Source organism: Homo sapiens, chromosome 21 (assembly GCF_000001405.40).
Source record: "Homo sapiens chromosome 21, GRCh38.p14 Primary Assembly".
NCBI classification, from domain to species: Eukaryota; Metazoa; Chordata; class Mammalia; order Primates; family Hominidae; genus Homo; species Homo sapiens.
The window spans coordinates 38,914,031-38,927,274 of record NC_000021.9 but is presented as its reverse complement, the minus strand read 5'-3'; the positions used below and the strand labels follow the sequence as shown (position 1 = coordinate 38,927,274).

Here is a 13,244-nt window from a genome sequence, read left to right as displayed (position 1 = left end):
GGGTGCTAGCCCAGGGAAACTGGTTTTGGACTTCTGGCTTCCAGAACCATGAGAGGATAAATTGCTATTTCCTTAAACACCCAAGATTAAAATAATTTGTTACAGCAGCAAGATAAAGCTAATATACCATGCTAAACAATTTCTTTGAGACGTAGTGAGGTCTCCATCCCCAACAGTGACTGATGGCTTCTCAGAGTGTGTCCATAAAAGAGATGGTGACCCTGGGGGGCAGGTTGCACAGGAGAATATCTGAACCCCTCGTAGCTCTAAGCATGTGGGATTAGTTTGCCAAGGCTGCCATAACAAAGAACCACAGACTGGCTGTCTTAAACAGCAGAAATTTATTGTCTCCCAGTTCTGGAGGCTGGAGTCCAAGACCAAAGTGTGGCAGGGTTGGTTTCTCCTGACTGGTAGATTTCTCCTGAGGTCTCTCTCCTCGACTCATAGATGCCGTCCTCTCCCTGTGTCCTCACAAGCTCATCCCTCTGTGTATGTTTCTGTCTCCTCTTCTTATGAGGACACCAGTCAGACTGGATTAGGGACTCACCCAAATAGCGTTACTTTACTTTAGTTACCCCTCTGAAGACCCCATGTCCAAACAGAGTCACATTCTGAGCTACCATGGGTTAAGGCTTCAACATATCAATTTTGGGAGACACACTTCCACCCTGACAGCTATGTTGTACAATGACATCACTGTCATATCTATTTAAGGGTATTTCTACACACACCTCTGCTTTCGATTTGAGAGCTTAATTAATTTATTTTATAGAGATGGGGTCTTGCTATATTGCCAGGCTGGTCTCCAACTCCTGGCCTCAAGCAGTCCACCTGCCTTGGCCTCCCAAAGTGCTGGGATTATAGGCATGAGCCACTGTGCCTGGCCCTGAATTTGGGAGCTTCAGAGGGCAAGTAAAGAGAGGGGGGAACAAGTTCAGAAGTAAAAACCCGCGATGCCAGGAAGTCCTTACAGCTTTAAGCTTCACATTTAATCACTTCCCACAAGGAGAAGCAGGCTGGGTGTGCTCCAGGCTCCGGAAGCTCCAGCAGCCCCAGAGATGAGGGTGGTCTGCCCCCCACACTCCCTGCCCCAGCCCATCCTGGACCTTCTCCTGACACACAGCAAACCACACTTAGCTGTCATTGATGAATCGGAGCCTCTGCCAGACAGCCGGCCAAGCCGACGCTAACTCACCCCACAGCCTGAAATAGAAACTCGCTCGTTTTCCAGTGTGTGACAAAGAAGGAAGGTATTTAATTTTGAAAGGAGCTGAGCCAGCTTTATTGTGGGTCATTTTTTTCTGGAGCAAAATCCTCTCTAGTTTTCTCCCCAGGCTCATCTTCCTTCTGATCTATGGGTTAGCATTTTGGATGGGATGGTTTTCTGGTGTGGGGGGCTGTCCCCAGTGCTGCAGGATGTTAGCAGCACCCCTGTTCCTACCTGCCAGATGCCAGAAGCACCCCTGCCCCATTTGTGCCAACCAAAAATGCCTCCAGAGGTTGCCAGTGTCCCCTGGGTGAAACAGCACCCCGTTGTTGAGAAGAACTGGTCTAATTAAACGGCAGATTAGTTAGGAAGAATGGGCTGGTGTCCTGGCTCTGCCTCCTCTGCTGGGAATACAGCAGGCTGAGATGTGTGCCTGACATCTTATGATGCTGGATATGAATGGAGGGACCGCCAAAGAAGGCAGGAGCCTCTTCAGTGGTGTGCAAGGAGGACAGCAGTGCATGGTTGATTTTATTTATTTAATTTTACTCTTTTGTGACAGACAGGGACTCTACTTTGCCCAGGCTGGCCTTGAACTCCTGGGCTTGAGCCATCTTCCCATCTTAGCCTCCTAAGTAGCTGGCACTACAGGCACATGCCAACACCCCTGGCTTCTTCACTGGGTTTTGAATCAGACAAGTTTTTCCACTGGTCCCTTGAGTGGTTTAGAAGCCCACGCTCGGGGCTCCAGATGAGACCAGAGAGTGTCCTCAGAAGACAGTTGGGACCATCTTCATGCCTCCCCCATGATGCCCTGTGTGAAGGGCTGCACTGAGATCTCTGCACATCCCTCCTTCCTTCCCCTGCAGCTGCAAAACACCCGCTGCTCCTTGAATACTCCAGACCACCTACCCCAGGGCCTTTGCACGTTTTCCCCACACAAAGCTTTCCCCCTGTATTTTCACTTACCTGGCTCCTTTTCCTCACTGAGGCCTTAGCTTGGCATTCCCTGAACGGGGGGAGTGTTCAGGGGGATTCAGTTGCTCTGCAGCCCATGACCCACCTGATGTTCTTTATAGCACCCTGTGCTGTGATGGGAAAGCTGGATTTCTTGGCTTGGGGCTGTAGGTCTCAAGGTACTCAAAACCATGAAAGCAGAGTCTGTTTGTCTTGTTTGCTGCCAATTCTCAACCTTGAGAACACAGAGCAGAAACTCAATGAACAGTTATTGAATCAATGAAGGAATGAATGATGCAGCCTGTAGTCCCCCTGAAGGATGTGAGTCCAAAGATCAGAGGGGCCCCTTTCAGCTCATTGTTTCTCCCACAACCCTTTGGGCCCGGACTGGCACCCATTAAAAGGCAGACATTCTTGGGACTCATCGCCCCTTTCTTGGGATTGGTGGAGCGCCATCTGAGAGGGGAGCGGGCCTCGGCTGCAGGCAAGGGGCTGGGTGACACCATCAGCAGTGGATCTGCAGGAAGGCTGGGGAGGGGATATGGAGGCTCCAGCTGGCAGCTTCACTGGGGCCGCCCCTGCCTGTGTCCTCTCATCTTGCTCTTTTTTTTTTTTTTTGAGACGGAGTCTCGCTCTGTCGCCCAGGCTGGAGTGCAGTGGCACAGTCTCGGCTCACTGCAAGCTCCGCCTCCCGGGTTCACGCCATTCTCCCGCCTCAGCCTCCCGAGTAGCTGGGACTACAGGCGCCGCCACTACGCCCGGCTAATTTTTTTGTATTTTTAGTAGAGGTGGGGTTTCACCATGTTAGCCAGGATGGTCTCCATCTCCTGACCTCGTGATCCACCCACCTTGGCCTCCCCAAGTGCTGGGATTACAGGTGTGAGCCACTGCGCCTGGCCTCATCTTGCTCTTTACAGCCAAGGGAGTTTCCAAAGGTGAGGGAAATGCTAGCACCAGCGCCCGCCCTCCATTCCAGAGCAAGAGACACTCATCCAAGGGCACCAACCTTCGCCTGCCTTCCATGACCACAAATGGGGGCTTTGTGGAGAGAAGTTCTTCTGTGGCTTATCTTACGACCTCTGGAAGAAATCTCTTCCTTCTTTCTGCCCAGACTATAGAGGGAGGGCAGAAAAGGAGTGGAGGTGGGGAAGGTCAATAGTGGAGTTGAAGATAGCCATGCCTAAGTGACCTTTCCACCCCATTAGAGGTGTCATCACTGGTGTAAAATGGTGCCCAGCCTCGTATCTCAAGTGGGGATGGCTCAGCCCTGCTAAACTTCACTGCCTTTCCTCTGGGGTGCATTGTGTTATATGGTGTCTCCCCCAGGTCTGGCCAAAAAGAGAGCTTCCTAATGAGGCATCCTGGAAACTGATGGGAACTGTGTTCTTATCCATCTCCCCCATCTCTTGTGCCCCAGGACATCAACTGGGAGTGGCCCAGAAGCCCGAAGCTGAGAGGACAAAGCTCACTGGGGTAAGTTAACATCACTCCAGATCAGCCCCGGTGAAGTCAGCGAGAATTGCCTACACCTGAAAAAATGTGGCAAACTTATTTGTAAAGCTTATCTGACACTTTTGTCTATATTTGATACATTCAGTCCTCCACAATCTCTACTTTACCAAAATCCATGCGGGTGCATCATAAAGAGAGATGCTTGATGACCAAGTTGTTCTGGACAAATCAAGGTAAACAGATTATAATTACTTCACAGGGATTATTTTTGGAATGTAATGGCTGGTCACTCCCTCGACTGTGTATATCTCTTGACATGTAATTCAGAAACATGGCCTGTGCCTTAGGGAAAGCATGAAGATACACATGAGATGGGCATTCATGACCTCTTTAGTCATGCCAGAGACGCTCAAAAATGACATTCTTGAAGATCTTTATTCTTGATGCTTAATTTTTCATTTGAAACTCAAACAGTAGAATACTTCTTTTGAGATTTGAGTTTAGGCAATTCCTTTTCAAAAGAATACATATACATGGCCAACAAGCATATGAAAAAAAAGCTACACATCACTAATTATTAGAGAAATGCGCATCAAAACCACAATGAGATACCATCTCACATCAGTCAGAATGGCTATTACTAAAAAGTCAAAAAATAACAGATGCTGGTGAGTTTATGGAGAGAAAGGAATGCTTCTACACTGTTGGTGGGAGTGTAAATTGGGCCAGCCACTGTGGAAAGCAGCGTGGTGATTCCTCAAAGAGCTAAAAACAGAACTACCATTCAACCCAGCAATCCCAATACCAGGTATATACCCAAAGAAATATAAATCGTTCTGTCATAAAGACATATGCACACATATGTTCATTGCAGCACTATTCACAACAGCAAAGATATGGAATCAACCTAAATGCCCATCGGTAATTGACTGGATAAAAAATGTGATACACATACACCATGGAATACTATGCAGCCATAAAAAAGAATGAGATCATATTATTTGCAGGCACGTAGATGAAGCCATTATCCTTAGCAAACTAATACAGGAACAAAAAACCAAATAACTGCATGTTCTCACTTATAACTGGGAGTTAAATAATGAGAACACTTGGACACATAGAGAGGAGCAACGCACACTGGGGCCTACTTGAGGGTAGAGGGTGGGAGGAAGGAGAGGATCAGAAAAAATAACTAATGGGTACTAGGCTTAATATGTGGTTGATGAAACAATCTGTTCAATAAACATTCGCAGCACAAGTTTACCTATATAACAAACCTGCACATGTACCCCTGAACTTCAAGTTAAAAAAAAAGAGTTTAGTGCAGTTCATTGTTCTTGAAAAGGCACACACGAAGTCTTTTCTCATGACCAGCACTGCTTCACAGGTGTTATCAAAAGTACCGAACAACAAAACGCTCCTTAAAAACTTGGGCTTGCCACGCAATTACAAATGAAAGAGTGGTTTTTAGATTAGGATTAATTTTATGACCAAATAGAGGGTTGAGCTACTTTGAACATGCTGCAGTTGACAGTTTATTACACAAGAACAAAGGCGTTGGTGCATAAAACTTAGGTAACAACTACAATAACTTAAAACAAATCTCAGGGGCCATCACATTTCTACAGTTGAGACTTTTTTCCCAAGAAGGAAGGCTGCACCTGCCCCCTGCCAAGACAGTCCGTTGCATGGCCCTAAGAAAACCACCTAACTCAGTTGGAACGGTACCAGTTTTGTGATTAAAGTAGGGCTTGGGTCCAGCCAAGCATTAGTTTTGAAGAATGAGTAACTAGGCTGTTTCGGGAGCAGCAGTGTTGGTAAGATCAAAACCAGGCGGGGGAAGAAGCCCCAGGCCACTGGTGTTTCTGAAAGTGTGCTCCCAGAGTCCTCAAGATATATTCCTACTTGGAACAAGTATCAGAATTTTATTCCTTTTTAAGGCTGAATACTATTCCACATTTTTGTTATTCATTCATCAGTCATTGGACATTTGAGTGAAAACAGAACTTTTAATCTTACTAGCTCATACATGAACAAGACATGAGTTTGTTCATATGAGCTAGTGATATTTTTAAAAGTCAGTTTCTTCTTTAGAAAAAGAGCATTTTAAGCAAGTTCACTGAAGAAAATTGCCCAACCTCTTTAATAGTGTGGGGAAAAATAGATGATAAAATACAAAAATAAGTAGGCAACAGCATGTATTTAAATCATAGCAAACATGTAAATAGGGATATCATTCCTCCCCTACTCCTCCACCTCAGGTTTTTTTTGTTGCTGTTCTGGAAAAATATTCGGGGTACAAAGACTGCATTTCAAAAATAGAATTTATGAGCCTAATCATCTTAACAGGGAACATAAATGCCAAAACAGCTTCTATGAGTCATTTCTTGGATTCTAAAAGGAATTCATTTCAAACAGGAGTTTTCTCGTCTTTGAGGTTTGTTTTAAGAAGTTCCAAAAGCAAATAGCAAAATAACAAAATGCCTGGAGCTGCAGATCTCGAAGCACCCTTCAAAATAGCAGCCCTGGTGTCAGACGTCTGGGGCTGGCTCTGGGCTGGAGGGGTCTCCATTCCTCTCCTAGGTCTGTGGACCATGAGAAGATCATTGCATTTAAGAAACAACAATGCTAAGGAATGGGTAGGGGTTCTGGGGAATGGAAGTGTGAGAAAGAAAACCAAAGGATCTTTGAGATTTTTAAAAGCCATGACTATAGTTTGGAAAGGAATCCCACACAGGAGCACCAACGTAATTCTGCTGATTTTTCTTTTTAAACGTTCTGTGTTTACTCAACCATCCATGCCTGAATTGTCTCCCTAGCTCATCTGTTTGCAGCCCCTGTTCCTGGGGAACAAAACCTCCTAGTCAAGAATCATCACGCCCATGGCTACACTACCACAAACACTCCAGTAAATCAGGTGAACACCCACCCAGGGCTCCAGAGCCTACACACATGGAACATTTGTACTTTGGTGACTTCCATCTTGAAGATCTACGTGGGCCAAGAGTGATGCTGACATTAGCTGCTTCTTTTTCCACGATCAAGTGGGTTTGGTGATCAAATAAGTTAGGAGCCTGGGCAACATAGTGAGACCCTGTTACTACAAATAATACAAAAGTTAGCCAGGTGTGGTGGCGTGTGCCTGTAGTCCCAGTTACTTGGGAGGCTGAGGCAGGAGGTTCACTTGAACCCAAGAAGCAGAGGTTGCAGTGAGCTGAGATTGCGCCACTGCACTCCAGCCTGGCTGCTAGAGTAAGACCCTGTTTCAAAAAACAAACAAACAAACAAAAAAAAAAAAAAGAAAAAAAAACAGGGAAATACTGGGCTAACCAATGACAAATAAGTATATCTATTGCAGGAATTACCAAAAATGTAATGTGTATTAGGAGTCTCCAGGGGATGAATAGGAGATGACACATTTTCCAAATGTATTTAACCATCAAATGCTCTTAGTAAGAAGCATCTCCCTGGAACAGTGTCGTCAGAACGCACTTAGAGAAGCCCAATTTAGACCCCTGTTAAATTCAGCAATTTAATATGGTGGCCAACACACTGTAGGCCATCAATACAATATTAATAGTGTTCCAGGGACCACATATTTTGTGCACCAATAACCTCAGTCTCTGTTTCCTACTCCACTCTCAGGGTTCCCGCTTTCTGTAATCCCAGCTTGGTCTTGATCTTTTGGTATAGGGAAAGGAAAGGAGAGAGGGTCCCAGGAAGGAAGAAACTGGTGGGATTTTCCATGGGAAGGTTTGAGAACTACTGTTGCATCAAGAGGGAGAGAGAAAGCAAGAGGGTGTCCCGGGAGAACGTGGCAGAATTTGTTTGGAGAGAAGATTATGAGAACTGAAATGTCAGATGCAGACAGACAAAGAAGAAAGGTGGGAAGAAGTTGAGCTGGGTGTGGGATGGAATCTTCCTCTGGCCTGTCCCGGCACCTTCAGTGGTGGCTTAATTTGCCCTTTGCTTTCCTCTTTGGCTGCTGTGTGTTTGGATTTTGAATCAAATACTATGCTATGGCTGGCTTCAGGGTGCCAGCGAACCAACCTGACTTAATGCAGGTTCGTGGGTAATATTGTCAACCATTTACCATATTCTTGTATTATTCACCCATAGATCTTCTCATTTGCTCTCCCTAGGAGGGAATATTGAAATTGGAACCACAACACTTGGGTATATCAGGTTGGAAAAGACAGTTCAACAGATGGCTGGTCACCTTGATTGAGTAGAATGCCACTGGAAGACCACAAATCTCTAAACCATAGTGAAGAATTGGCCAAGGGGAGCAAAATCCAATCAATTCAAGGGGTTCCCCTTTCCAGGGTCTTGGACAGCGAGGTGAGCGTGTGTTTCTAGCAGGTAAAGCTGACACGTGGCATCCAGGAGGTCTCCACTCAACTTGAAGAAATTGAATGAGTGCATTTTGTTTCCTGCTTATAATTTCCACTTAAAGCACCTCTGTAGTTGACCTCAAGGCCTGCTTTGATATCAATCTCCAAAGCACAAAAGGAATCATTTTGCACTTTTTTTCTTCAAGGGACTTACAAATGAAGGATCTGATAAGCACAGTTGATGATTAAACCTAATAAGCTGGCTGCTGGAGTGCTTTGATTTACTTTGGCAAAGGCTCTTTGAGCTTGGTGGAAAACAGAATCAGTTTGTTTGTTTTTGTTTGTCTCTGGCTTTTCTGTTGAAGACCTTGATTTAAGTCTTAAAAGCAGTGGTTTTTTGTTTTGTTTTTTGTTTTAAACCAGAAAGTTCTGCAGGTTGAGAGGACTGTCCTTGGCGTACCCTGCTGAGTGGTCTAAATGGAGTCTTCTGTGATCACCAGCCACCCTGGGAGTTCCTGGGTGATGGCACCAGCCAAGGACATTTGGGGAAATGGTTTATGTATGATGTAACTTTCAATACTTGTATTATTTCCTAATTGTGAAATTAGAATAGGTTAAAAAAAAGGGGTGCAGGAGAGGAAGAGGCGCCTTGAGGTGAAGCTATATTCAGTTTTGCCTTTCAATTTAGGTTGGATTTGGGTCCCTGGGCAAGACTGGCATATCCGTGTGCATATCAAACAGCCAGTGTTGACTTCTCTGATTCTTCTTTCATTATTTATTCATTGGTTCATTCACTTCACAAAGTTACCTGGTCCCAGGTTCAGCAGCAGCTCAGAGACTCATTTGGGAGCTTTTGGAGTCACCTTCATGGGCCACCATCCCCAACCCCAGAGACTGACTCAACCAGCCCAAATGCTTTTCGAATACAAAGTCTAACTTTCTTTTGTGATTTAGACATGGCTGGGAAAAAAATCAACCCGTATAGAAATATTTTCTTGTGGAAAACAAGAGTTCCCTGCCCTGGCCACCCCACCCCAGGCTAGCTTCACAGAAATCACCATTTTAAATTAAATCTTGTAACTATTTCTGCTTTTAGTTCTGCTGGCAATCCACCCCAGGTTGCTAAGTAATGTACGTGTACCGCTTCAAAAATACCCATTTTTGGCATTATCGGTAGATTTCTCCCATGAGAAACGAAGATTTGTTCCCTCCTCCCTCCTGCTAATATAGTGCTTAGGCTATTGCTATTTTGGTCTCTTAGGGGGCTGTTTTATAAGTTTAAATAACAAGCCTTTATTTGAAGCTTCTTTAACAGTGTCTCTTAGACCCTCAGGTTGAAAGAGAATGATGTTAGGCTGGGTGCAGTGGCTCACACCTGTAATCTCAGTACTTTGGGAGACCGAGATGGGTGGATGACCTGAGGTCAGGAGTTCGAGACCAGCCTGACCAACATGGAGAAACCCTGTCTCTACTAAAAATACAAAATTAGCTGGGTGTAGTGGCACGTGCCTGTAATCCCAGCTACTCAGGAGGCTGAGGCAGGAGAATTGCTTGAACCTGGGAGGCAGAGGTTGCGGTGAGCTGAGATCGCACCATTGCACTCCAGCCTGGGCAACAAGAGCAAAACTCCGTCTCAAAAAAAAAAAAGAATAATGTTAGTGCCCCTGCCCCCCAACTCTCCTCCACCCCCGGGGTGCAGGCTGGCTGGGGCTCCGGGTCAACTCTCCCTTCTCCCTCTGTAGAAGCCAGACGCTTCCCCTCTCTCCCCTCACCTAAAGAAGCCAGTTTGGGGCCAGTCACATACTGGATTATGGATCTTCAGAATCCCTGGTCTTTGGCATTTGGAAAGGCCTGGAATATGCCTTTTTAGCAGATGACTGTGATGCAGGTGGTCTGAGAATGTGCTCTACATCTTGTAAAACAGGTGACATGAAATGGCCGTTCTAGTCTATGCAATGGCAGCATGAACACAGAAAGCTGAAACGGGGGATCAGTTCTGCAGCCAAGAGACATTAAAGCTCAAAGGTATAATCGGAAGCTAGAATTCATTCATTCAACAAATATTGACTGAGCAAGCTCTTACTGTGTGTAATGCCTTTCTTCTCATAGTTTTTGCACCGCCACCCCCACCCCTTCTCAGTTGCTTTGCCAGATTTCGAACTCCAGGGGTATTTATTCAGTGTATTGTTTCAAGAAAAGGAAGGTCTTCACAAACAGGTGCAACAGGCCACAGCCTGCCCAGGCGGAGGCTTGCAAGCACCTCTGATAAAGCAGCAAAAAAACACGGGAGGACATTTTTTCTTTCAGATTTTCATATACAGATGTGGAAGAGATAAGGTTAGCTCCATTCTAAGTTCTCTGTGTTTGGTTAAAATAGGCTCAGTTCCTTCCCTCCCTCCCTCCCTTCCTTCCTTCCTTCCCTCCTTCCTTCTCTTCTTCCTTCTCTTCCTTCCTTCCCTCCTTCCCTCCTTCCTTCTCTTCTTCCTTCTCTTCCTTCCTTCCCTCCTTCCTTCTCTTCTTCCTTCTCTTCCTTCCTTCCCTCCTTCCTTTTCTTCCTTCCTTTCTTCCTTCTTCCTTCCTTTCTCTCCCCTCCCTTCCCTCCCTCCCTTCCTTCCTTTTTCTCTTCCTTTTCCCTCTCTCCTTCCATCCCTCTCTTCCCCCTTTTTTCTTTCCTCAATCCTTATTTCTAACTAAAAGGCCAATAAAACAAACAAACAAAAACACATAAATTTCAATAACCTTATAGGCATCCCTTCAATTAGGTCAATAAGTAACCAGATCATCATTTGATTTTTCTAAGGTACATAGAATTGTATTGTGGAAAAACAAATCCAAGGGCAAAGAGAATGCCTACTGTGGCTCATTGTTTTGCGGCAACATCTCATTTAATCTTTACAGCAAACCTACCAGGGAGGTGCCATTACTATTGTTTGTTTAGAGGTGGGGACATGAGTCTAGAAGGGTTTAATCAGCCTGAGGTCCTTTGGTGGGTAGATGACAGAAGCAGATTTGAACTCCTGGGCTCTTGATACTATAGTCAGCTGCCACTGATTGAAAATACCAATTCACACCTTCTAACAAGAATGCAAGATTGACTTGGCTGTGCAAAATATGCATTACATTGTGCCAATAAAGAGTTCACCTAAGTTGTCCAACCTAGCATTTTAAGTCACTTGACCTAAATACAATGCACCCAGTTAAACTGTCCTTGAAAATGACACATCTACCCTAGTTTGTGCCTGGTACTACAATGTCCATAGTAGCATTTAGGAAATGGTTTTAGTTACAAATCCCAGTTTTAGGAAAAATGAAGATGGATAAGCTTTCCAATGAAGGGCTCAGGACAAAGTTGAGGGTCCTGCTCGTTCTCTCTTCTGAAGTTGTTCCCTTCTGAGGGTGTGTTTTGTACAGCTGCTTCTGTTGCTCTGTGTCTTTTTGGCTTCAGATTTTTAAAATCTTCTCTTTAATCCCTGAAAACAAAAGGTAAGCGTATGTCTCTGTGCTTCGTAGCATGTGTCCAAATAATCACCGAGACAAGCAGCTTGCTCAAGCTGTGAGTGAAGAAGCCAGGCTGGTTTGTGTTGCCCTTGGTTTGGGGTTGGACAGTTTCTCTTTTAAACCTCTTCCTAGATGTTGGGATCCCAGGCAGCGATGGGGTCAGAGAAAGCTGCCTCTAAGAGTCAGGTTCTTCTCCACATCCAGACAATGACTGAAACAAATCTTTCTAGCTCCAAAGGCCAAGCTTTCAGAAACCAAGTTGTGCTGTATGTGAGCCCTTTCACGATGGGAGGAATGCCTGCTTCCAAGTAGGGGTTTGAGGAGGAAAGAGATTCAGCTCCGGACCAGCCATTTCTTTTTTGGAGGAAATATATGTGTGTGTGTGTGTGTGTGTATATATATATATATATATATATTTGTGTGTATATATATATGTGTACACACATACACACACATATAGAAATACAGGACATCAAAGCTCTTTCATTTGGGAAGAACTTTCCCTTTGCCATTCCATTAGCATAAAAACAAGCTCCCTGTTGGCTGTTAAGTTCATACTGTGTGTGAACTTTGAGATACAGAAGGATTCATCTGTGTGATGCATTACAGAGATCTTGCCTGGGAGTGAGGACTGTTGATATTGTAAAAATGCACCACTCCTAGAAGGGAGGAACAAAGGAACTCGGTCCAAGAGCCTCTCTGAGACCTCTTCTCCCTTCTCTGTCAGCACAGGAAAAGAGAGTGGAGGGGCTGCTGCCCCAGGAAGGCTGGGCCCACCCCTCCTCACAGGCACCCTGATGCCTGTTCAGCTTGGCTCTCTGGATGACAGGCAGAAGGTAACATGATGCCACCAGCCACCGGCCACCCTCTCTTCCTCCTTCCTTAACCCTTCAGCACCTAGAGAGCTGGTCCTTGACTTCCGACCTCACTTGACCCCTTCCCTGACACAGAAGCAGGTTCCTCGGCCGGGTCATCTGGGACACACTGGCCCTTGCCCTCTCTTGAATTTGCCCTGTGCCCTGAGGTGAGCGTTGACCTCTCTCCTCTCTGACAGGGAGAACCAAGCCACCCCAGCTGCCTCAGAGGTGTGGGTGGCTTAATGAGTCAATGTTGGTGAAGTTCTTTGAAGACACAAAGTGCTCCGTAAAAGCTGGTTCCCATCTTGCTGACAAAGGCGCTCCCTGAGCTCTGGCCCTTCTGATAGAGAGTGGGCTTCTGTGGTCCTTCCTCCCTTCTTCTTTATGGATGACGTAAATAGCTCCTCTCACTTACATTCTCCATGGGTGAGAACGCATGAGGAGAGAGAGACAGGGAGGGAGAGACAGAGAGACAGAGAGAGACAGGGAAGGAGAGAGAGAGAGGGGTGTGTGGGATGTGTGTGAAGTGTGGTGTGTGTGGTGTGTATGTGGGTGTATATGTGGTGCATGTGTTGTGTGTGATGTGTGTGCTGTGTGTGATGTGTTTTGTGTAGTGTGTGGTTTGTGTAATGTGTTTGTGTGGTGTGTGCAGTGTGTGGTTTGTGTTGTGTGTTGTGTATGTGGTGTGCGCTGTGTGGTTTGTGTGGTATGTGGCATGTGTTTGTATGTGTGTGGTATGTGGTATGCATTTGTATGTGTTGTGTGTGGTATGTGTTGCATGTTGTGTGTGGTATGTGGTGTGTGTTGTGTATATTGTGTGTTGTATGTGGTGTATATTGTGTAGTTGTGATGTGTGTTGTATGTTGTGTGTGGTTTGTGGTGTGTGTTGTGTGTGGTTTGTTGTGTATGTTGTATATTGTGTGTTGTGTGGTATGTTGT

At 45.5% G+C, this 13,244-nt stretch overlaps 1 long non-coding RNA gene across 1 annotated transcript in view, besides 2 other annotated features; it reads left to right on the top strand.

Moving 5' to 3' along the window:
• Positions 1–13,244, top strand: part of ETS2-AS1 (ETS2 antisense RNA 1) — a 61,139-nt gene that overhangs the window by 11,155 nt on the left and 36,740 nt on the right. Inside the window, exon 2 of the long non-coding RNA NR_120405.1 lies at positions 3,582–3,637. This is a non-coding gene — a long non-coding RNA (ETS2 antisense RNA 1). The remainder of the gene's footprint in view (positions 1–3,581; positions 3,638–13,244) is intronic.
• Positions 11,854–12,354: an enhancer, noted in NCBI's record as "H3K4me1 hESC enhancer chr21:40286845-40287345 (GRCh37/hg19 assembly coordinates)". NCBI's record gives its function as "activates a minimal SCP1, AML or CMV promoter by ChIP-STARR-seq in primed H9 embryonic stem cells {active_cell/tissue: H9 hESC(primed)}" and the evidence as "EXISTENCE:reporter gene assay evidence [ECO:0000049][PMID:30033119]".
• Positions 12,355–12,855: an enhancer, noted in NCBI's record as "H3K4me1 hESC enhancer chr21:40286344-40286844 (GRCh37/hg19 assembly coordinates)". NCBI's record gives its function as "activates a minimal SCP1, AML or CMV promoter by ChIP-STARR-seq in primed H9 embryonic stem cells {active_cell/tissue: H9 hESC(primed)}" and the evidence as "EXISTENCE:reporter gene assay evidence [ECO:0000049][PMID:30033119]".